Source organism: Homo sapiens, chromosome 14, assembly GCF_000001405.40.
Source record: "Homo sapiens chromosome 14, GRCh38.p14 Primary Assembly".
Lineage (NCBI taxonomy): Eukaryota > Metazoa > Chordata > Mammalia > Primates > Hominidae > Homo > Homo sapiens.
In genome coordinates this window covers 93207212-93230696 of record NC_000014.9, presented here as the reverse complement: position 1 = coordinate 93230696, position 23485 = coordinate 93207212, and the positions used below count along the sequence as shown (strand labels likewise).

The 23485-nt window shown below is 43.9% G+C and overlaps 1 protein-coding gene and 1 pseudogene across 2 annotated transcripts; one reads left to right on the top strand and one right to left on the bottom strand.

Moving 5' to 3' along the window:
* UBR7 (ubiquitin protein ligase E3 component n-recognin 7) lies at window positions 1482-23441 on the bottom strand. 2 transcript variants are annotated; one of them, NM_175748.4, is made up of 11 exons: window positions 23256-23441; window positions 20740-20873; window positions 19989-20049; window positions 18570-18665; window positions 15715-15768; window positions 15416-15521; window positions 11962-12170; window positions 11336-11485; window positions 10286-10448; window positions 8323-8384; window positions 1482-3754 (listed from the first exon to the last, which is right to left on the bottom strand). In NM_175748.4, the coding sequence occupies exons 1-11, from the start codon at window positions 23403-23405 to the stop codon at window positions 3662-3664; spliced, it is 1278 nt and encodes a 425-aa protein (NP_786924.2). In that variant the 5' UTR covers window positions 23406-23441; the 3' UTR covers window positions 1482-3661. The 2 variants fall into 2 exon arrangements, 1 of the variants encoding a protein (NP_786924.2); NR_038150.2 differs by lacking the exon at window positions 20740-20873.
* On the top strand, window positions 6522-7148 carry RPL18AP1 (ribosomal protein L18a pseudogene 1; annotated as a pseudogene).

The following is a 23485-nucleotide window of genomic DNA, read 5'->3' as shown; positions in this document are numbered from 1 at the left end:
TGGCTCGGTGTGCCTGAGTCCTGCGGGTCAGCCTTAACGTGTTCTCCTCGGGGCCACTTTCCGCCCCCTCCTCTCACCTGAGCCGCCCTCCAGCGCACTCCTTCCCCCCACCTCCTCTTACCTGAGCCATGCTCCAGCTCACTCCTCCCCTCCCACCTCCCAGGGAAATGGAGGCTGCCTATGGAACTCCCTCGATTTTGAGGCCTCATTCCAACACCCTCACCCGCATCCCCCACCACCAGGTCTGGTGGTCCTTCTGTCCCATCCTATCCCATCTTCTAACAGCTCCAACATCACCTGCGGTCCACTCTCAGCAATGGCTCCACCTTAAGAATGTGCGTTGGCCCAAGTGTCTCTGAACTTCAACAAGCAACTCCCTGGACTGGCCTTCTGCAGCCGCGCCCTCTCCTTGTCCCCTCACAGTAGTGCCAACTGTGGCCTCTTCTTGCAGCCCACACCCTGCCCTCTGCAATCTGGCCTCTGAACTTACCATGGGTGATGACCGTAAGTCCACATCCAAGGTAGCAGGAGTTGTGGGGAGGCCAAAGATGGGCCACTATACTGGCTTTTTGGGTTGCTTTTATATTTACTTAGAAATAATGGCTACTGTGTAGGGTGGACCTCACATTTTCCTCAGGATGTGGGCTCCAGCCCTCTCTCCCTCTGCATGCAGCAGTACCTGAACACTGTGACTGGTCACAGCCCAGCCCATTGCTTTGTTCTGCTGTTCATCTAGACCCCAATTATTAGACCCCAGGGGGTATGGTGAAGTCGGGGGGATGAAGGAGCTCTGCTCGGGGGACCTGGGATCAGGCTGCATTTTACAGAACAGCAGAATAATGAGCTACCCAATGTCGTGAACCAGTCCCTCTGCTTTGAGGGCAGGACCTCAGGGCAGGAAGAGCTGTTAGAATACACCATTACGTTTCTTTTGAAGGATGAGGTCTCACTCTGTTGCCCAGGCTGGAGTGCAGTGAGTGGCTGGCTATTCACAGGTGCAACCACGGCACTCTATAGCCTCCAACTCCTGGGCTCAAGCAATCCTCCTGCATCAGCCTCCCAAGTAGCTGGGACTACAGGCGTGAACCTCCATGCCCGGCTCTATGCATTTTTTCTTTTTTTTTTTTTTTTGAGACAGTCTCGCTCTGTCGCCCAGGCTGGAGGGCAGTGGCGTGATCTCGGCTCACTGCAAGCTCTGCCTCCCGGGTTCACGCCATTCTCCTGCCTCAGCCTCCCGAGTAGCTGGGACTACAGTCGCCCGCCACCACACCCAGCTAATTCTTTGTATTTTTATTAGAGATGGGGTTTCACCATGTTAGCCAGGATGGTCTCGATCTCCTGACCTCGTGATCTGCCTGCCTCGGCCTCTCAAAGTGCTGGGATTACAGGCGTGAGCCACCGCGCCCTGCCTGCATTTTCTTAAAACCTGCAGAGGGAGGCTGTGTAGACTTAAATATACTAAAAACAATCTGAAAAGCAACTATTTTGTATTGGTTTTATTTAAATTTTACAGAAACCTGATCAGAGTTAAGTATGTAATTATAAGTCCAGTAACAATTTCTACAAAAATGCACATACAATGCCAGAACTCCTTAAAAGCAACTAATATCATATTTGTGTTTTGCATAAAACATGCATTAATATGTTGGCCAAAATCAGTCTCTACAAGAAGAGACAGTCCAATACAGTCAATAAGAAAACTAGTTGTGAACAACAGGTAAAAAAAGAGGTTTCCAGTTAATGTGAAAGAAGGAATAGTACCTTTCATAAAACAAGCCCTTCAGCGCTGAGTTAACTGATCGGTACTATTGTGCTGCACGTAATGTAACACATCACCTCCAAGACTTGGTCCTGATTGGTCATAGGAAGTAAGGGACTTTCTGGTAGTTACATCAGATATTTGAGAAGATTAAAAGTTTTCCGGACATGATGGTATACTAATAGTGCAACCTTGCAAAAAGGGTTCGAAACATTGTCAGACTTGGAAGAGTTCCCCAGCTTGATAAACAACCTCAAAGACACCCCGAGCCTTTGAACGGAGCCCTCTGCACAAGGCCAGCTCAGGGCTCACCAGCATGTCCTGTGGCCACAAGACCTTCCAGCTCCACATACCACCCTTCGTGAGGATCTGCAATTAGGAGCCTGAGTGCCGAAGAACATGGTTGTGCCATTTCTTTGAGGCTTTGACTTTTTATAAGGCCTAGTTCATCTCATCCAGGGATTGGGCACTCGAATGAATACACAGATGCTGGACACATAAGGAGTATTAATATACATGGTGGCCCCACAGCCTGAAATGCTTTTATTAACATACATCAAGGTGTGTCTCCGACTGTCAGGAAAGACCTTGGTCCTCCAGAGGCAGAGAGAAGCTGAGGGTTCTCTATGTATCACAAGGCATTTCCTACATAGACTGAGGGGTGTTAAAGAGATCTCATATCAACTGAAAGGACTTCCCCTCAAATGTGGGGCTCTGTACAACCTTCCATGAGGATCTTCAAAAAAAAGATCTCATAGTCGTTAGGGAAGTGGCGGTGGACATTAACATTATATACACAAAACTCATCATTCGTGCAGCCTCGGGCCTTGTTTGTAATCTCTTCCACAGTCTGTCTCTTCCAAAACAGGGCTCCCTGCCCTGCTTATTTCAAGTAAGCTAAGTCAGGATCTGTTTTCTTTAGCAGATTCAAGGGGGAAAAATAATAATTTATTGGGGTTCTAATAACATTTTCATAACAGAATATCAAAATAGGTCCATTTTTGATATATGCTTATGAATATCCCTGATAATATCAAGAAATCCAGAGGACTTCGTAAACCACCAAGATTTCACAGGGGTGAGACCCGGTCTGTTTTCTAGGCAGCAGAGAAGGGACTAGTATACGGGCAAATGTTCTCCAGGAAGCCCTGTGAGCACTACAGTACTGAAATTCTAATTCTAGTGCCAATAGAATCATGAACGAAAATTTCACTTGAACTGTATTAGTAAAATTCATAACAAAGGCTTGCTTCCTCAACCCTGTCATCTGTTAATCTCTCCGCCTGTGACAGACATCCAGACCAGAAAACCATCAGTCCTGGCTACTCTGGAGGTTGGGCCTAGAGAAAACAAGCCCCAAGATCCTTTCTAAGCTATGACCAAACCTCAGAAAACAGGGACGTGAAAGAAGGAGCAGACCAGGCTTGAGGAAGCTTTGACCCAAGGCACCACGATCATAGGGGCGAGGGGACCTGTAGAGGTTCTAGGTGACGGGAAGAGAGCCTTCCGTGATGCCTGCGGAGGAGGTTCTGGAAGGCAACAGCTCTGTGGCAAAACACACACATCTGGGAGTGAAATAACAGATCATTAAACAAGACACCAATTTGCTTTCTCAAAACAAAATCAAACTTAAAAACTATGCAAATAACCCTGGGTGCACTGGAGTAGGAGTACACTGGAGAAGTCTGTGGAATGAGCTGCATCAGCTGAGTCACAGAGGACGCTGGCTGTGAAGTCAGCATCCACACGGTGGCTACTGCAGCTAAAGAGAATGAAGGGAGCGCGAGGCCTCTCCAAACAGAGGAGGACGGAAAGGGGGCCAAATGTGAACCACACCTCTTTTATTCCAAGAATGGGAAGCGCATTTTCATTGGCTTGAATGAGAAAGCTTCATACTCCACTCTAGCTGCAGTAATACTGCATCCCATCCACTCTTCTTCTCTTTTTTGACTGAAACTCTTCAAAGAACTGCTGAATGTCCTCTCTCTTAACAACCTGTTTTTGAAAAGCAAAGATTATGAAAGAGAACTAAGTAACAGAATCGCAATCCGAGGTCATAGCATTCACAAACAAGTCAAATGATACTGTTAAGAATTATGTTAATGATAACATCTCCATTTTCTATTTTTTTTTTTTTTTTTTTTTGAGATGGAGTGTCGCTCTGTCACCCAGGCTGGAGTGCAGTGGCACGATCTCGGCTCACTGCAAGCTCTGCCTCCCGGGTTAACACCATTCTCCTGCCTCAGCCTCCCGAGTAGCTGGGACTACAGGCGCCCGCCACCAAGCCCGGCTAATTTTTTTTTGTATTTTTAGTAGAGACGGGGTTTCACCGTGTTAGCCAGGATGGTCTCGATCTCCTGACCTCATGATCCGCCTGCCTCGGCCTCCCAAAGTGCTGGGATTACAGGCGTGAGCCACCGTGCCCAGCCTACGCCTGGCTAATTTTTAAATTTTGTGTAGATACGAGGTCTCACTATATTATCCATGCTGGTCTCAAACTTCTGAGCTCAAGTGATCCTCCCGCTTCCTCCCAGAATGCTGGGATTACAGGTGTGAGCCATGACACCCAGCATGTTTATTTTTTACTGAGGTAACACATGCTTATTGTTAAGAAAGAAGGACAGTGAGACAAGGAAAGTGAAGGAAAGAGAAAGAAAAATAGAGCACGTGAATGAATTCGAGCAAAAAGGGAAAGAGATAAAGAGAAAGTAAGAAAGAGGGGTATAAAGTGAAAACTTCCCTCTCATTCCCTAGTAAGTGTGGCTACCATACTCAAAAGAGCAACTTGGAATAATGCTAACTTGGAATAATTTTCTCAGACCAGTAGCTGATACACCAGTTTCATAAGCACCAACAGTAATACTGCTGCTCAACCAGTGAGGAATCCAAACCCCTAACAGATTCAGGATGCAGAGGCTGAACACATCCTGAAATGACTGCAGCTCAAAATTCTAATGTACTTGGCTAAATGGCACGGGAATTTACACTTAACAAAATGCTAATAAATAGGATACTTGCAAGTTGCAAAATGAAGGATCTGTCCCTACCCTGGATTACAAACATTAGCCACAGAAAGCCCGTAAGTAAAAGGAAATATCTCTAGCAAGGATACTGTAGGAGGAGACCTAACAACACACAAATGAGACTGTGCAGCTTTTGGTTTCTGGATATCCTCAAATGGTCACAGCTAACGTGCAGAGTAGAAACGCTAGTGAATAAATACTTGGGTTCAATAACAAATCAGTTTTTTAATTTATTTCAGAAAATGTGTAGTTTCTAAGTTTATTAATTATTATTGCTTTTTAGAGACAGGGTCTCGCTCTGTCACCCAGGCTGGAGTACAGAGGTGTGATGATAGCTCATTGGAGCCTCAAATTCCTGGGCTCAAGCGATCCTCCGATCTCAGCCTCCCAAGTAGCTGGGACCACAGGCACACGTCACCATGCCAGCCTAATTTTTTTTTTTTTTTTTTTTGTAGAGGCGGGGTCTCATCATCTTGCCCAGGCTAGTCTTGAACTCCTGAGCTCAAGCAATCCTCCCACCTTAGCCTCCCAAAGTGCTGGGATTCCAGGCATGAGACACTGCACCCAGTCTAAGTGGTTTTTTTTTTGGTTTTTGTTTTTGTTTTGTTAGATACAAACATTAAATAAAAGGCAGTCCACCATCTAAGAACAGCTAGAACTTATTAACATTATCCCTATGGACAAATACAACCAAAGCAGATAAGCTTTATGGCAACCTGAGGTTTTGTTTCTTTTTCTGTGAAGATCTGGTTAGTAATGTCATGGAACAAACAACAAAAATACCACATTTTTCTGACCTTTTAAATTATCTGGTCAGATAAAAAATTCTCTCCTAAAGACTCCTAAAGAGTGGCGCTAGTGATAACAAGGACCCGGATGTTGAAGATACCTGTGAAGACCTTGAGTAAAAGTCTCCAATGTGCATGAAAAAGAACATGCCTAACTTTTTTCTTTTATGTAATTTTAAGTATATGTTTGTGATAAAATAAAGAAAACCGACCACAAAAGAGTGGAGGTGCAACAGCACCAGCATCAAGAGGGCATGCCTGCACACTATTTGAAACACCTCAAATGTCCATTGACAGTTCAGAGGTTACCACACTGAGGCAGAGTGCCCCATTACACCCATGAACATTCTTAGTTCTAGCACCAAAGAAGCTTGAGTCTGTATTAACCAGAGGATAGTCTCTGCAACAGAAACAAGAATAACTACATTAAGTTTTAAGAACTGTAGGGAAGGCCGGGCGAGGTGGCTCATGCCTGTAATCCCAGCACTTTGGGAGGCCAAGGTGGGCGGATCACAAGGTCAGGAAATCGAGACCATCCTGGCTAACACGGTGAAACCCCGTCTCTACTAAAAATACAAAACATTAGCCGGGCGTGGTGGCGGGTGCCTGTAGTCCAGCTACTTGGGAGGCTGAGGCAGGAGAATGACATGAACCTGGGAGGCACAGGTTGCAGTGAGCCGAGATCACGCCACTGCCCTCCAACCTAGGCGACAGAGCAAGACTCCATCTCAAAAAAAAAAAAAAAAAAAAAAAAGAACTGTAAGGAAGTAGGAATTGTTCTCAGTGATAGTGAAGAAGTCTCTAAAAACTGAGAAAACCACTTAGAAGAAGGCTCTTTTAACTTTACAATTCATTTTGCAGAAAGGCAGCAGGCAGCACTGTGACCCTGTCCAGAAATTCAGGCAGTTAAATGTTCTTCCCACATCTATGACAAAGAAAAAAACGACCTAACCTTTTGCGGGTGGTGGCGAGCGCGGAGAGGACGCCATGAAGGCCTCGGGCACACTATGAGAGTACAAGGTGGTGGGTCACTGCCTGCCCACCCCCAAATGCCACACACCGCCCCTCTACCACATGCGAATCTTTGCGCCTAATCACGTTGTCGCCAAGTCCCGGGACTTCTGGTACTTCGTATCTCAGTTAAAAAAGATGAAGAAGTCTTCAGGGGAGATTGTCTACTGTGGGCAGGTGTTTGAGAAGTCCCCACCGCGGGTCAAGAACTTCGGCATCTGGCTGAGCTATGACTCCCGGAGCGGCGCCCCCAACATGTACCGGGAATACCGGGACCTGACCACCGCGGGCGCTGTTACCCAGTGCTACCGAGAGGTCTATGGGCGCCTGGCACCGCACCTGGGCCCATTCCATCGAGATCCTGAAGGTGAAGGAGATCGCAGCCAGCAAGTGCCGCCAGCCGGCCGGCCATCAAGCAGTTCCACGACTCCAAGATCAAGTTTCCCGCTGCCCCACCGGGTCCTGCCCGTCAGCCCAAGCCACGCTTCACCACCAAGAGGCCCAACACGTTCTTCTAGGGGCAGGGCCCTCGCCCGGGTGTGCCCCAAATAAACTCAGGAACGCCCCCCACCCCAAAAAAGAAAAAAAAGGAAAAAATGACCTAAAGTAGGTAGACAGAGATGACATCTTCTAAGAAAGCAGGGCTCAAGCCAGCCTCCCAAGTAGCTGAAACTACAGGTACAAGCCGCCATGCCCAGTTCTTTTTTTTTTTTTTTTTTTTGAGATGGAGTCTTGCTCTGTCACCCAGGCTGGAGTGCAATAGCACAATCTTGGCTCACTGCAACCTCCACCTGTGGGGTTCAAGCGTTTCTCCTGCCTCAGCCTCGGAGTAGCTGGGATTACAGGCACCCGCCCTCATACCCAGCTAATTTGTGTATTTTTGTAGAGACAAGGTTTCACCATGTTGGCCAGGCTGGTCTTGAACTCCTGACCTCAGGTGATCCACCCACCTCAGCCTCCTAAAGTGCTGGGATTAAGGCGTGAGCCACTGCACCCGGCCACCATGCCCAGTTTCTATTCTAAACCATGGAACTTAGAATTCCAGAAACTGGGTCTGGTGTTAATTTTTCCTGTCCAGTCATTTTCCCCTCCCCGTCCCAAAGATCCATGCTTCAAGGTCAGGACCAGCAGAATCAGTACTGCGGATTCCTTCCAATGACCTTCTGCTAAGCTACAAGTACTCTCTCAGAGGCTGTGGGACTGCGCCCTCCCATCATTCTTCCCGGCTTAGCTGGGGTTGGTAAGGACTGCCAATGTAACTCTGATGTTTCACTACCTCTTATTCATTCCCCTTAGCCTGCCAATTTGCTCAAAACAGTCCCTGAATTCAACTCTCAAGTACCCACTTAAGTCGCAGTCATTTTTTTTTTTTTGAAATAGGGTCTTGCTCTGTCGCCCAGGCTGGGGTGCAGTGGCGTGTTCTCGGCTCACTACAACCTCCGCCTCCTGGGTTCAAGTGAGTCTCCTGCCTCAGCCTCCCTAGTAGCTGGGACTACAGGCGCCCATCACCACGCCTGGCTAATTTTCGTATTTTTAGTAGAGATGGGGTTTCACCATATTGGCTAGGCTGGTCTTGAACTCCTGACCTTGTGATCCACCCACATTGGCCTCCCAAAGTACTGGGATTACAGGTGTGAGCCACCGCACCCCGCCAGTCGCAGTCATTTTTAATCGTCAAAGGAAATAAACCCTTCATTCAAAACTTACAGGGCTATGATTAGAATTCTTTAACTCAACATACCGTGCCTTCATCAGCAAATCTCTTGAGATAGTCTTTAAGTTCAGTCTTCAAATCATTGTATTCTAAATCAAAACCACAAAAGTATTTAAGTTTAGATAAACCATTTGCTTTCAAAAACAAAATATTCTTTGCCATTGACACCTGAGTCTGTTAATAATGTAGTCTAAATAAAAATTTTCTTAAGTGAAAGCTGCATAGAAACTCGTTCCCAAATTATCTGTACGTCTACCATGTTGATATGAGACCCTTTTTCATTAAAAAAAAAAAAAGCAAAATTTTTTAAAAAGCATAAAAAGCAGAGATATCCTAATCCCATAAAGATTAAGAATTTTTAAAAGGGCTTCCTATTTCTCTGGAATTCTGGTAGCTGAAATAACCTTGGACTTGTTGAATATTTAATTTAATTTAATTTATTTTATTTTTTGAGATGGAGTCTCACTCTGTCACCCAGGCTGGAATGCAGTGGCACGATCTCGGCTCACTGCAACCTCCGCCTCCCGAGTAGCTGGGACTACAGGCACGCGCCACCATGCCTGGCTACTTTTTTATATTTTTAGTAGAGACAGGGTTTCACCACGTCAGCCAGGCTGGTCTTGAACTCCTGACCTCAGGTGATCCACCTGCCTTGGCCTCCCAAAGTGCTGGGATTACAGGCGTGAGCCATGGCGCCCAGCCCAAGCAAACTGACTCACTTAACAGTTTATATTATGTACAAGGTACCTTGAGGGCTACAAGTATCTTTTAGGTGCATCCTCTATCCTTGAAAAGTTTTTACTCTAATAAAGGCAAAAAGAAATTAATAATTATAAATAAAAGACACGGCCAGGTGCAGTGGCTTGCACCTGTAATCCCAGCACTTTGGGAGGCTGAGGCAGGTGGATCACCTCAGCTCGGGAGTTCGAGACCAGCCTGGGTGACATGGTGAAACCCTGACTCTACTAAAAATACAAAAATTAGTGGGGACTGGGCATGGTGGCTCATGCCTGTAATCCCAGTACTTTGGGAGGCCAAGGCAGGTAGATCACCTGAGGTCAGAAGTTCGAAACCAGCTTGGCCAACATGGTAAAACCTTGTCTCTACTAAAAATACAAAGTAAATTAGCCAAGCATGGTGGCAGGTGCCTGTAATCCCAGCTACTTGGGAGGCTGAGGCAGGAGAATCACTTGAACCTGGGAGGCAGAGGTTGCAGTGAGCCGAGATCGCGCCACTGCACTCCAGCCTGGGTGACAGAGTGAGACTCCATCTCAAAAAAAAAAAAAAAATTGGGGGGGCGCAGTGGCATGCGTCTGTGGTCACAGCTACTTGAGAGACTGAGGCAGGAGAATCACTTGAGCCTGGGCAGCAGAGGTTGCAGTGAGCTGAGAATGCACCATTGCACTCCAGCCTGGGCAACAGAGCAAGACCCTGTCTCAAAATAAATAAATAAATAATAAAAGACAGAAATGACTGATGCTATAAAAGTCACATAAAAGTGGTGGCATCCAAGTGGAAATGGCTGGGATAGAAACCACTGAAATAAGTTTGGCCTGCTGCAGCTGGGTGGTGGTGGGGGGATGTAAAAGCCTTCAATCAAGGGTTTGGGGGTATTTTCTCCTCTAGTGGTTTCCTGTGAACCACTGAAGCAACCTCAAGAACTGTCAAAATGGTGACATGCCTTGCTCAAGAACATGACACATAATGTCCAAAAATTGTTTCAATGGATGGAAAATTTGCATTCATCCATCTACCCTTAATCAGAATAGCATATGTTGTGGTTTCTCAAGCATGTAATTATTCTAGCATGTAACTCTGATTCAATGGTAAAAGCAGCTGAATACCCACCAATATGAAAATCAAGCAATGGTCTAAAATTCAAAATTTTAATTCTTTGTATTAAATTAAAAATATAGGTGTTTACTGCCCCCTTTATATTTTTTTACATAGTGAAGGAAATGATGAATTTTCACACACACACAGTATTTACCACAAATGAGTTCCACTTGCTGGACTCTATTCATGCTGCTAAGGGTATCCATTAGGGGATCGCTCCTGTCAGTGGCCTGGGCAATCTTCCCTTTGTTTTCATAAGCCAGAACTGTGTCGTATTCATCTGTCAGGAATAAGACATCTAGATCTCCATACATTTTCTTTAGGGAAAAAAAAAAAAAAAAAAGAAAGAGGAGTTTCCCCATTAGAACTGTTTATCATTCTCAGAAAGCCAATTTCCTGAGAATCACTAAAAATGTAATTTTTTTATATTAAGACCTAGAAAAACTGGAGCGTCTTTAACACAGAATTGCTAGAAGGATTTATTCTTTTTGCCTAAATTTCTTTCAGAAATCTCCCAATTTCCCAGATGTCATATGGTCTATGAGATCTTTATTTAAAAACCATTGATTTACTGTTAACTTTTTTTTTTTTTGAGATGGAGTTTCACTCGTTGCCCAGGCTGGAGTGCAATGGCATGATCTCGACTCATTGCAACCTCCGCCTTCTGGGTTCAAGCGATTCTCCTGCCTTGGCCTCCCAAGGAGCTGGGATTACAGGCATGTGCCACCACACCCAGCTAATTTTGTATTTTTAGTACAGACAGGATTTCACCATGTTGGTCAGGCTGGTCTCGAACTCCTGACCTCAGGTGATCGAGACCTAACTTGGCCTCCCAGAGTGCTGGGATTACAGGCGTGAGCCAAAGCACCTGGCCAATTTACTATAACTTTCAACCAGTGTTTCCAAGCAACTTTGATATAACAAAGATAAGTAAACTAAAATTAAAATAAGTAAATTTAAAATACTGCATAATTATCCATTTCTTCCACAAACATTCCAACTGTAAGTACTATGTCATAAATTTGCTTAATGTAAAAATTTGGAGGGTCTCCTAAACATTAATTTCATAAATATATTGTTCAGGTGTTCTTTTTATTTTCCTTTCTTCCTCTGGTACAAAAATTGAATGTTTTCCCCAGGTGTTCTTATTTTGGGGCACCAGTACACAAAACATGCTAACACTGAGCACAATCAGATACTTTACCATACAGTCTTGGCAGGTACACAACTTGCTACGCCAGTTCAGGGGCCAATAGGTGGCAGTGTCTTTCTTTATAAGCTGCTTAGCTTTAAGCTCCTGAAGTTTGCAGCCAGATTTTGATTCTGCGTTGAGGCTTTCATTCTTAAACACTGTCTGAAATAAAATTAAGTTTTGAAGCATGTTTTTTAAACTACCATAGTTTTCATAGTTTAGATTTTGTAAAGAGATTTCTTTAGGCAAAGGATAAAATTGAAATCCAAAGCCATAAGTTTACAGAATTAATTCCACTTCAGTTTTCTTTTTTTTTTTTGAGACGGAATCTCATTCTGTTGCCCAGGCTAGAGTGCAGTGGCATGATCTCGGATCACTGTAACCTCCGCCTCCTGGGTTCAAGCAATTCTCCTGCCTCAGCCTCCTGAGTAGCTGGGATTACAGGCATGTGCCACCATGCCTGGCTAGTTTTTGTAATTTTAGTAGAGATGAGGTTTACCCATGTTGCCAAGGCTGGTCTCAAACCCGTGACCTCAGGTGATCCGCCACCTCAGCCTCCCAAAGTGCTGGGATTATGGGCATGAGCCACCGCGCCTGGCCCAGTCTTATTTCTTGATGGCTCGTACTTCACACATTACCTGGAGATCAGATTCAGAACTAGAGCCGGCACATGGTTCACTGTTCTGCTCTACTTTAACCTCCCGGACATCATCCTTTCCCTGTTCTGGAACATCCTCTTTGAGGGTACTATCTTGATGCTCTCCATTTTCAGGTTTGATAACTTCCTGATCACCTATTCCATCAATGTTCCGCACCAATCCATCATCCTCAGTGGATATTTTGGTTACTGTGAGTTCAAAGAAAAAGAAAAACACATACACACATATCCACTGACCTAACGGACAATAAAATCCCAACAGACAATAAAATCACTTATTCTATTATTATTATTTTTTTTTTTTACAGACAGAGTCTCACTCTGTCGTCCACACTGGAGTGCAGTGGCATGGTCTTGACTCACTGCAACCTCTGTCTCCCAGGTTCAAGCAATTCTCATGCCTCAGCCACCCGAGTAGCTGGGACTACAGGTGCGTGCCACCATGACTGGCTAATTTTTTGTATTTTTAGTAGAGACGGGGTTTCGCCATGTTGGCCAGGCTGGTCTTGAACTCCTGATGTCAAGTGATCTGCCTGCCTCAGCCTCCCAAAGTGCTGGGATTACAGGTGTGAGCCACCACATCAGGCATACAATAGCTTTTGCTATTTTTTTTTTTTTTTTGAGATAGAGTTTCGCTCTTGTTGCCCAGGCTGGAGTGCAATGGCGTGATCTTGGCTCATTGCAACCCCCACCTCCTGGGTTCAGGCAATTCTCCTGCCTCAGCCCCCTGAGTAGCTGGGATTACAGGCATGCACCAGCATGCCTGGCTATTTTTTATTTTTAGTAGAGATGGGGTTTCTCCATGTTGGTCAGGCTGGTCTGGAACTCCTGACCTCAGGTGATCCACCTGCCTCGGCCTCCCAAAGTGCTGGGATTACAGGCATGAGCCACCACATCTGACCTAAAATCACTTTTTCTGATATTAAAATATTTCAGAATCTGGAAAAAGAGATTAGTCCACCGTAGTCTCCGAAATACTGAGAAAGAAAATTCCAACGCTTCTTTAGGTTATGTCTGCCTAACCCAAAGAATTCAAATAATTAAACAGTTTATTTGAAAATATCAATCACTGCTTAAGCACTTTACACATAAAGGAGAAAATATTGTACTGTACTTGTTAGAGACAGAATAATACAAGAAGCAGGAGGAAGAGATTGAATTGTAAACACAGACAGAAGGGTAATTTTTTAAAAACAGCTTTTCTTTATGGGAGGAAGAAATAAAAAAAATGATGGGTGTAGTGGCAGATATACTCTGAGACAGAGAAGAGAAACGATAGGGGAGCTCACATTGGATGCCAGCATTTCAATGTAATAGGAGATGAAGCCATCTGCTGATGGGAGAGGAAATGAAGGGAGAGGCAGGAGATCAATTTAAAAAACCCAATTAAGCTGGGTATGGTAGCTCACACCTGTAATCACAGCACTCTGGGAGGCCAAGGTGGGTGGATCACCTGAGGTCAGGAGTTCGAGACCAGCCTGGCCAACATGGTGAAACCCCTTCTCTACTAAAAATAGAAGAATTAGCTAGGCATGCTGGTGCATGCCTGTAATCCCAGCTACTTGGGAGGCTGAGGCAGGAGAATTGCCTGAACCCAGGAGGCATAGGTTACAGTGAGCAGAGATTGTGCCACTGCACTCCAGCCTGGGCAACAGAGCAAGATTCCGTCTTGAAAAAACAAAAAAACCCAATGAATGAGAACTACACATAGATAGGTTCAGCATCTGTGGACAGTGAGAGAGATCACTGGAAAGGGTGTGAACAGAAAGGGAGCAGCACTTAAGAACTCTGAGGCAAACTGGCCGGGCGTGGTGGCTCATGCCTGTAATCCCAGCACTTTGGGAGACCGAGGCGGGTGGATCACTTGACATCAGGAGTTTGAGACCAGCCTGGCCAACATGGTAAAAGCCTTGTCTCTACTAAAAATACAAAAATTTGCCAGGTGTGGTGGCATGTGCCTGTAGTCCCAGCTACTCTGGAAGCCGCGTCACAAGAATCGCTTGAACCCAGGAGGCAAGGTTGAGGTGAGCCGAGATAGCACCACTGTACTCCAGCCTGGATAACACAGTGAGACTCTGTCTCAAAAAAAAAAAAAAGGCAGAAAAACAAAAGAACTCTAAGGCAAATCTAAACTGTAGGATGAGATCAGAGGTATGGCTATGCTGCTCATGGTTTGTATGGTGAACTGGTCTCTAAAGATGAGAAAGGCAAGAAATTATGAAGCCTAAGCAGCAGATACCATGAGTAACTGCCACCTTAAAAATAAAGAAATACATAAAGCATTACCAATAAGATAGTTAATGCCTCAGGACCATTCATTAATTAGTTGTTTTGATTTAATTTCTTAGTGTATAATAAAAGCACCAGATAGACTGGGCATGGTGGCTCATGCCTGTAATCCCAGCAGTCTGGGAAGCCAAGATGAGTGGATCACTTGAGCTCAGGAGTTCAAGACCAGCCTGGGCAACATGGTGAAACACTGTCTCTACAGAAAATACAAAATTAGCAGGGCATGGTAGTGTGTGCCTGTAGTCCACTTTTATAAAGGCACTAATCCCATTCACGAGGGCTCTGACTTATAAAAGAGGCCCAAGCGAGCTTGTTTGCCCCTTTTAACAGGTACGGACACGTAGAAGGATCTGTCTATGAGGAATGGGCCCTCAACCAAACACTGACTCTGCGGGCACCTGAATTTTGGACTTCCCAGTCTCCAGAACTGTGAGAAATATCTGTCTATTGTTTATAAATTACCCAGCCTAAGGTATTTTGTTTTAGCACCCCAGACAGACTAAGACACCACCTCCTCCCCAACTGATACCATGTGTTAGAATTAACAACTTATTTCAGTTCTATTTATCTTTCAAAATCCCATTCAAAAACTGCCTCCTCCATTCTCTAACTCTGGTCTCATCAATACTCTGCATCATATCATTTAAGTATAAATTTGTTTTTGGTAGTATCCCAACAAATCTATGCACCTTGTGGAGAAAGAACACATACTATTCTTTTTTTTTTTTTTTTTTTTTGAGGATGGAGTCTTGTTCTATTGCCCAGGCTGGACTGCAGTGACGTGATCTCGGCTCACTGCAACCTCTGCCTCCTGGGTTCAAGTGATTCTCCTGCCTCAGCCTCTGGAGTAGCTGGGATTACAGGCAAGCGCCGTGACGCCAGGCTAATTTTCATATTTTTAGTAGAGATGGGGTTTCGCCATGTTGGCCAGGCTGGTCTCGAACTCCTGACCTCAGGTGATCCATCTGTCTTGTTGGCCTCCCAAAGTGCTGGGATTACAGGCGTGAGCCACCATGCCTGGCCAGAACATATACTATTTTATAACCACAGAGCCCAGTTAAAAATAGTTGCTAAAAATTCTGAATTGAACATACAAATTTCACAAGCACAAGTTTGTGGCACACCAACTTCACAAAGATACCTACCTGCCAATTGTGCAGCATAAGCCCACAAAAAAGAACAACGTTTCATGCAGGCCTGGCATACCATCTCCTGAAAATCCCCACTCTCAGGGGGAATGGCACCAAGATGCTGTGAATATAGAACACCAAAAATTTTCTTGTGATTGCCAAATTGTCCAAAATGCCCATTATTTTATAAATACTGTAATAATACACTGATCATATCATTAGAATTTATTTTTAGAAGACTAATTATAATGTAAAATATAACCTTTATCTTTTTGTGACAACAATGGTTTCAAAAGGTGGAACATTTTCCTTACCCTTCCATGGAACCAGTCTTCACAGACTACGCACTGGATCATCTCATCTGGAATCTAACAGAGAAAAGCAGTTTGTTAAGGATTACATTGAATTCGGGAACATGGAAATAACCTGGCACACAGTAAAATAAGATACTAAATATTTGTTCTACATGAACTGGTGTTCCAAAGGCTTACATTGAGATAAGCACTTTACAAACAATCTCAAGGCTCTTTCACATCCATTACTTAATATCTGATTCTCACAAAACTGTGTAGACAAGGAGGGCATTCCCATTTTATACAAAACTCAGGCCCAGGCAAGTAATGTGAATGGACCAGTGCAGACAGTGACAACTGGGACTTTTTACCACACCATCCTTTAATACAATATTCAGTTGTATTACTGTATAAGGATGTTCACTCCAGCCTTCTTTATAATATTGAAAAATTAGACAATGCCTTTCTGCTGCAGAAGAACCATCCTGCCAAGTACACTGAAAAGTAAATGTTATGAAAAACCTCGATAGATAACTCCTCTAATTTGAATAAATTAAATAATTAAATGCTGGCCCTAGGAAAATAATATACCAAAGGACATAGACTATTTTGGGGATGATTTTCTTTTACTCCCAGGCTCTCATAACTGTTAATTAACATCCCAATGTTGTTCTGTCCTTTTCCTATCGTAGGCTTCTTAAAGGGAATAAAAAAGCACATATTGTGGAACAGGAGGAGCTGTAACACTTTACCACATGCCTTAAAATATCCAGTTTTGGCTGGGCGTGGTGGCTCACGCCTATAATCCCAGCACTTTGGAAGGCCAAGGTGGGTGGATCGCCTGAGGTCAGAAGTTTAAGACTAGCCTGGCCAACATGCTGAAATCCTGTCTCTACTAAAAATACACAAATTAGCCGGGCATGGTGGCGAGTGCCTGTAATCCCAGCTACTCAGGAGGCTGAGGCAGAAGAATCGCTTGGACCTGGGAGGCAGAGGTTGCAGTGAGCTGAGATCGCACTACTGTACTCCAGCCTGGGTGACAGAGCGAAACTCCGTCTTAAAAAAAAGAAAAAAAAAATCCAGTTTTAAGGTTTTATTTTTGTTAACTCAAAGAGACTTTCAATCTGTCCCTCTATATAATTTGGTTCAATAATTATAGTTCCAACGCAATTAGAAAGCAAGGAAGAAGGCAGAAGACTAATATCTCTAAAGACAAAAAGTACTCTTTCAAATCGGTAAATACCCAGACAAAACCCAAACCAATCAAAACATGGACTGAGGATATGAAAGGACAATTCAGAGAGAAGGTTATTATGGATGTCCAATGAACTTATGAAAAGATGCATAACCTCACTTATCATCAGGGAAAGAAAAAAAAATTTAAGATACTATTCTTTGGCTGGGCGCGGTGGCTCACGCCTGTAATCCCAGCACTTTGGGAGCCCGAGGCAGGCGGATCATGAGGTCAGGAGATTGAGACCATCCTGGCTAACACGGTGAAACCCTGACTCTACTAAAATTACAAAAAATTAGCTGGGCGTGGTGGCGGGCACCTGTAGTCCCAGCTACTCAGGAGGCTGAGGCAGGAGAATGGCATGAACCCGGGAGGTGGAACTTGCAGTGAGCCGAGATCGCGCCACTGCATTCCAGCCTGGGTGACAGAGCGAGACTCCGTCTGAAAAAAAAAATGAAAAAAAAGATACTATTCTTCATTTATCAGAATGGCAAAATTTTCAAGAACTGGTAATATGCAAGGTTGACAAAAGTGTTGGGGAAAAAACACTATCATATACTGTTGCTGGTACAACTTTTTTGGCAGATATGATCACAATTTTATTTTATTATTTATTATGATTATTATTTTTTGAGACAGGGTCTCGCTCTGTCACCCAGGCTGGAGTGCAGTGCCGCAATCCCAGCTTACTGCAACCTCTGCCCCATGGGTTCAAGTGATTCTTGTGTCTCAGCCTCCCGCGTAGCCAGGACTACAGGCATAAGCCACAGTGCCCAGCCAATCACAATTTTAAATGCCACAAATACACTTTGATCCGTCAATTATACCGATCCATTCTACATAAATACTTGGAGTATACTCAGTTGTATTACTGTATGAGGATGTTCACTCTAGCTTTCTTTATAATATTGAAAAATTACACAATGCCATTCTGCTGTAGAAGAACAATCAGGTTGACTAACTTATGGCATATGAAATTATAGGATACTCTGCAGCAGTTAGAAGGGGGTAAGTGTGTTTTGTTGACATGAAAGAATGTCTATGATATACTGGTGAGAAAAGCCAGCTGCAGAAGTGAGTGTACAGAATTTTCACTTCTGTTAATAGAAAGGAAACTACACATTGAAACACACATTCACTCAAACACTTCTATGTGCACAGAAAAAGGACTAAAAATATACACACCAAAAGTGTTAACAGTGGTTATGCCTGGGAGGTAAGAGGTGCAGAAGTGAGGAAGAACTCGTTTTGAATTTTGCATATACTTCTCATTGACGTTTTTAAGAGGATGCTGTTTGTATACCCCATTTTTTTCCGTAAAGAGACAAAAGAAGTTGAAGGTCATTTCTTAGAAAGTGTTTGGGGACTGGGGGAGGCAGTCAGGGAAGGAGAGGAAGGGAAGAAGCTCTGGCTTTGGGAAAGTCCTCTCCAATATTTCATTCTTATGATGTAAAAATGAAAAGAATGGTTGAGATGTGTACCAATTATAGATCCAACCCAGATTCATAAGAAAAGATAAATCTAGAGCCCTTTCACCATCCCACACTGCCTCTTGAAGAGCCAGAGGCTCGGATATGACAAGCAGTTGAGGAATCAAGGCTAGAGGGGACACACCCCCAGGTTTAACTTCCAATTCTCTTACCTCGTCTTCAGGATCAGGATAAGGTCTCTTGCAAATGCAGTACAATCCAAAAAAGTTGTCATTGTACTTATTGCCAGAATTTACCTTTGCTTTGTCCTGAAATATAATATTGATTTCAATAATAATATGGTCTAATTTTAACTATAATTTCACACATTATAAAATTTATGCATTCAATACATTTCCACATTATTTCCCCCAAGAGGCTGATCTTTAATTTTCAAAGTAGGAAAAAAAAAACTCACTACCACTAAAGGGATACTTTTTTCAGGACACAGGGAAAAAATAATTTTTTTTTGTTTTTTTTTGTGGTAATTAGGAGAAATTAAATACACCTATTCAATAAAATGGAGATAAAAGTTAATCATAAATATTAATTATCAATCTATGTGAACTGATATTGGCCTGGAATTTCAAGGTACTTCTTTTTTCTTTTTGATAGAGATGGGGTCTCACTATGATGCCCAGGCTGGTCTGGGTTCAAGCCATTCTCCCACCTAGGCCTCCCAAAGTGTTGGGATTACAGGTATGAGCCACCACGCCCAGCCTTATTTATTGGTTTTTCTTTTTCTTTTTTTTTTGAGATGGAGTCTCGCTCTGTCGCCCAGGCTGGAGTGCGGTGGCACAATCTCGGGTAACTGCAACCTCCGCCTCCTGGGTTCAAGCGATTCTCCTGCCTCAGCCTCCCAAGTAGCTGGGATTACAGGCACGCACCACCATGCCCAGATAATTTTTTGTATTTTTAGTACGGGGGGGTTTCACCATGATGGCCAAGCTGGTTTTGAACTCCTGACCTCAAGTGATCCACCTGCCTCGGCCTCCCAAAGTGCTAGGATTACAGGTGTGAGCCACCGTGCCCGGCCTATTTATTGTTTTTGTTTGTTTGTTTTGAGATGGAGTCTTGCTCTGTTGCCAGCTGGAGTGCAGTGGCGCAATCTCGGCTCACTGCAACCTCCGCCTCCTGGGTTCAAGCAATTCTCCTGCCTCAGCCTCCCAAGTAGCTGACCGAGTAGATGACTGGGTGCCACCATGCCCAGCTAATTTTTGTATTTTTAGTAGAGACAGGGTTTCACCATGTTGGCCAGGATGGTCTCGATCTCTTGACCCTATTTATTGTTTTTAAGTCATATCCGCTGATTTAAAAGCCTCAGAGAATAAGTACAACCAATATAATTAAACCTGAATTACTTTCAAGTACATCTCTCCCCCAAACCTTTCATATTAATTACCATCTATCTTGTAGGCTCTCAACAGTTTATATAGTTTTTCTAACAAAGTAAAAAATGAAATGGCCATCTGCAAAGAATAAGCATAAGAACTTCTTTTTTTGGAAAATACAGGTATTTGTTTTTTTACCCACTCTGGCAAATATTAACCTCAGCTGCTCTAAATGCATTTATAGTTACAGTGCTTACTTACAGGAAGTAATTTGCATTCCAAATTTTTAAACTTGCTGTTTCCACAATCACAACGAAAATTTCTGAAAAAAGGAGGAAATAACAATTTTATTTTTCTTTTTACAAAATCCAATTTAAAATTTCTTCAAGCATTCAAGCACATAGTAAGACTTCACAATTCGGGAAATTAATATGTACAAAAGCAAATATTTATATCACATACAAACACACAAGTAAAATGATGGCAGGGAAAGATAAATGGTTTGAGTTTGTACCATATTATGTTTTTAAAGGCTCTAGAAACAACTCTCTCCAATTATATAAAATAATTACATTAAATTTCATTAGTGCTGGGCGAGGTGGCTCACGCCTGTAATCCCAGCACTTTGGGAGGCTGAGGCGGGCGGATCACGAGGTCAGGAGATCGAGACCATCCTGGCTAACTCGGTGAAACACCGTCTCTACTAAAAATACAAAAAATTAGCTGGGCGTGGTGGTGGGAGCCTTTAATCCCAGCTATTCGGGAGGCTGAGGCAGGAGAATGGCGTGAACCCGGGAGACGGAGCTTGCAGTGAGCCTAGATCACACCACTGCACTCCAGCCTGGGTGACAGAGCAAGACTCCGTCTCAAAATAAATAAATAAATAAATTAATTAATTAATTTCATTAGTGTTCAACTGCTTTGCATGAAAAAACAAGATTAGGAAAAAGTGTAGATGGGAAAGAATCTATACTTCAAAAGCATTTAGTAACAATCTCTTGACTATGTTTACCTTTTTGTGTATAGCTCAAATAGTTTGTGACTTCCATGACATTCATAACTGCAAGCTAAACAAATTCCTGCTGGTTCTTCTCCCTCTGGGGTGCAGGTACTACAGGCATATAGTGCTTGTCTCTTTACTGAGCCCTGAAAGCCCCCAAAATGGAAAAGAGAATTAATGTAGTAGCATGGTTTACCTAATACCCACACTAGGAACTGAAAAATAATTAAAATCAGATTATCTGTGGTCAAGATCTTTCTGTAAAAACCATTAAGACTAAAAAGTTTACACAACAGAGCATCAACCAAAACACAGTTGCGTTGCAAGTTTCATTTTTATACTAGTGCTTTTTTTCATGCAAGCACTTTTTTCTTTCTTCCTTATTTATTTTTTGCAGAGATAAGGTCTTGCTATGTTGCCCAGGCTGGTCTCAAACTCCTGGGCTCAAGCAATTCTCTGCCTTGGCCTTCCAAAGTGCTGGGATTACAAGCATTAGCCACGACACAAGCCAGCACTTCTTTCTTAAAGTGATAGGAAGTCTGAATTTGTCAATCAGCTGTGAATAAATGGATCTGTTTAATCATTTTAATATGTGAAAACACAGGAGCATATGTACAGGTTTATGTAAGTAACATCACACTTTCATCCTGGAAAATGTTTGTAAATCTACCAAAGAAAGAATCAACACATGCAAAGAATCCCTTTGATTTTTAGGAGATGCCTGCTGAAGTATTTAGAGGTATAGTGTCATCGTGTCTGCAACTTATTTTTAAATAGTTCAAAATTTTAAAACAGCAAATTTTAAGTAGAAAAGGAGATAAAACAAATGTGACAAAATGTTAAAAAGTGAATATGTAGGCTGGGCACGGTGGCTCACGCCTGTAATCCCAGCACTTTGGGAGGCCGAGGTGGGCAGATCACTTGAGGTCAGGAGTTCAAGACCAACCTGGTCAACGTGGTGAAAACCTCATCTCTAGAACACCCCATCCACTAAAAATACAAAAATTAGCTGGACGTGATGGCGGGCGCCTGTTATCCCAGCTACTTGGGAGGCTAAGACAGGAGAATCACTTGAACCCAGGAGGTGGAGGTTGCAGTGAGCAGAGATCATGACATTGCACTCCAGCCTGGGTGGCAAGAGTGAAATTCCATCTCAAAAAGAAAAAAAAAGTGAATATGTATAAGAGGTATAGTTACCTTCCTCTAGGAAGGAGGAAGATAGATAAGGAGGCTTCCGGGATGCCAGTAAGGTTCTATTTCTTTTTCTTTCTTTTTTTTTTAAAGTTCTATTCCAATAAGCCTTTTGCACTCCTAATGTTCTATTTGTTGATCTGGGTTGTGGGAACACGCACACTTTCCTTTCAAGCTGTGTACATGATTTGTGCAAATTTCCGTATTTTTTTTTTTACCACAAAGAAAATATTAAGGAATCCATTTTATAAAGGTAACTACACTTCAAAAATAGTTTACATATAGACATAACTTTTTTCTTTTTTTTTTTTTTAAGTAAAGCAGGGGAAAAATTGTTTTAGTGGTGACCAAAGGTTTTAAAATACCTGGGGCTATGTCTGGATACCAGGTTTATTCAACAATCTAGCACTTTGCAGTGTAAACTAACCTTGGTCAACAACGAGAACTGGTATTATGATCTCAGTTCATACCACATAATGAATACAAGTCTCTCCCCTCATCTCCCCAGTGTTCCAATCCACCCCTCTTCCTAGGTAACCCTTCTTCCTACCAATTCTCATCCTTTGTCAGTCTTCTTCCTACCCATCCTTTTCCATTTTTGTACCTCGAAGTGTAGGGTGAGTCACTAAACACCACATCACACCCCCTCAAACACTTGCTCACTCACAACGTCTTCCAAATGCCAAACAGATCCTTTTCTCCTCTCTCCCCTCCCTTGCCAGAGCCACTTGCTGTTCTGTTTCCGGTCTATTTCCAGGGGAGGGGGGCAGACTGCAGATAGACATGGGTACTTGCTTCATTTTGCCAAAAAAAGAAAGAAAGAAAAAGTACTAGCTAGCACTTGTCCAACTAAATTGCAGAGGAACTAGCTGTCAAGGAGCTCACCGCAAATCCCTATGGATTTGAAAATCTCTTTAACCTGACTCTCCCATTCGGTCCCTAATAAATAAATAAATAAATAATCTTAGGATGGGAAAATCAGGGACAAAGATGTCTGGATCTGAGAGGTCGCGGGGTGGTTTCGTGAAAAGCAGTGGTGCACCAAGAAGAGGCTGGAGAGGACGGACAGAGCAGCTGCTCCAGGGCCCTTCCTGGCGGGCCGGACAGAGTTGGAGACAGGGGAGAGGGGGGCCCCTGCTGGACACAGGCTGAAGGGGGCCCAGGAGGTTGGGGTTAAAAGGGAAGGGTGAGCTTGGGGTGAGGAAGCGGCAGACTAACGGCGGCCCCGGACCACCACTGGGGAGACGACTGCGGCAAGGCGGGAATAGGGACAGCCGGGCCGGGAAGGGGAGGTTCGGCGGGAGCCGGGGGAGAGGAGGCCCGGGCCGCGCGCCCACCTGAGAGTAGGAGCACTTCTCGGAGTCGCTGCCGCCCAGGACAGCGCACGCCTCATTCTCCAGCTCCTCGTCCTCCTCAAGGACGTCGACCAACGATACCACGGGCTCCAGCTCCGACTGCCGCCCAGCGGCGCCCTCGGCTCCGGCCATCCTCAACTGTCAGCCGAACAGCGGCTCGGCCCCGGCGGAGGCGGGAAAAGCGGCCGTGAGGGGCGTAGCCGGAGGAGGTG

Excerpts from the sequence above, each read along its gene's own strand:
- UBR7 (NM_175748.4), bottom strand. The coding sequence starts at position 23,405 with ATGGCCGGAGCCGAGGGCGCCGCTGGGCGGCAGTCGGAGCTGGAGCCC. Across the intron at positions 20,874-23,255 it reads AGAAGTGCTCCTACTCTCAG|GGCTCAGTAAAGAGACAAGC; the intron begins GTGGGCGCGCGG and ends GGGGGCTTTCAG. Across the intron at positions 12,171-15,415 it reads TTATGCTGCACAATTGGCAG|TAACCAAAATATCCACTGAG; the intron begins GTAGGTATCTTT and ends TTGAACTCACAG.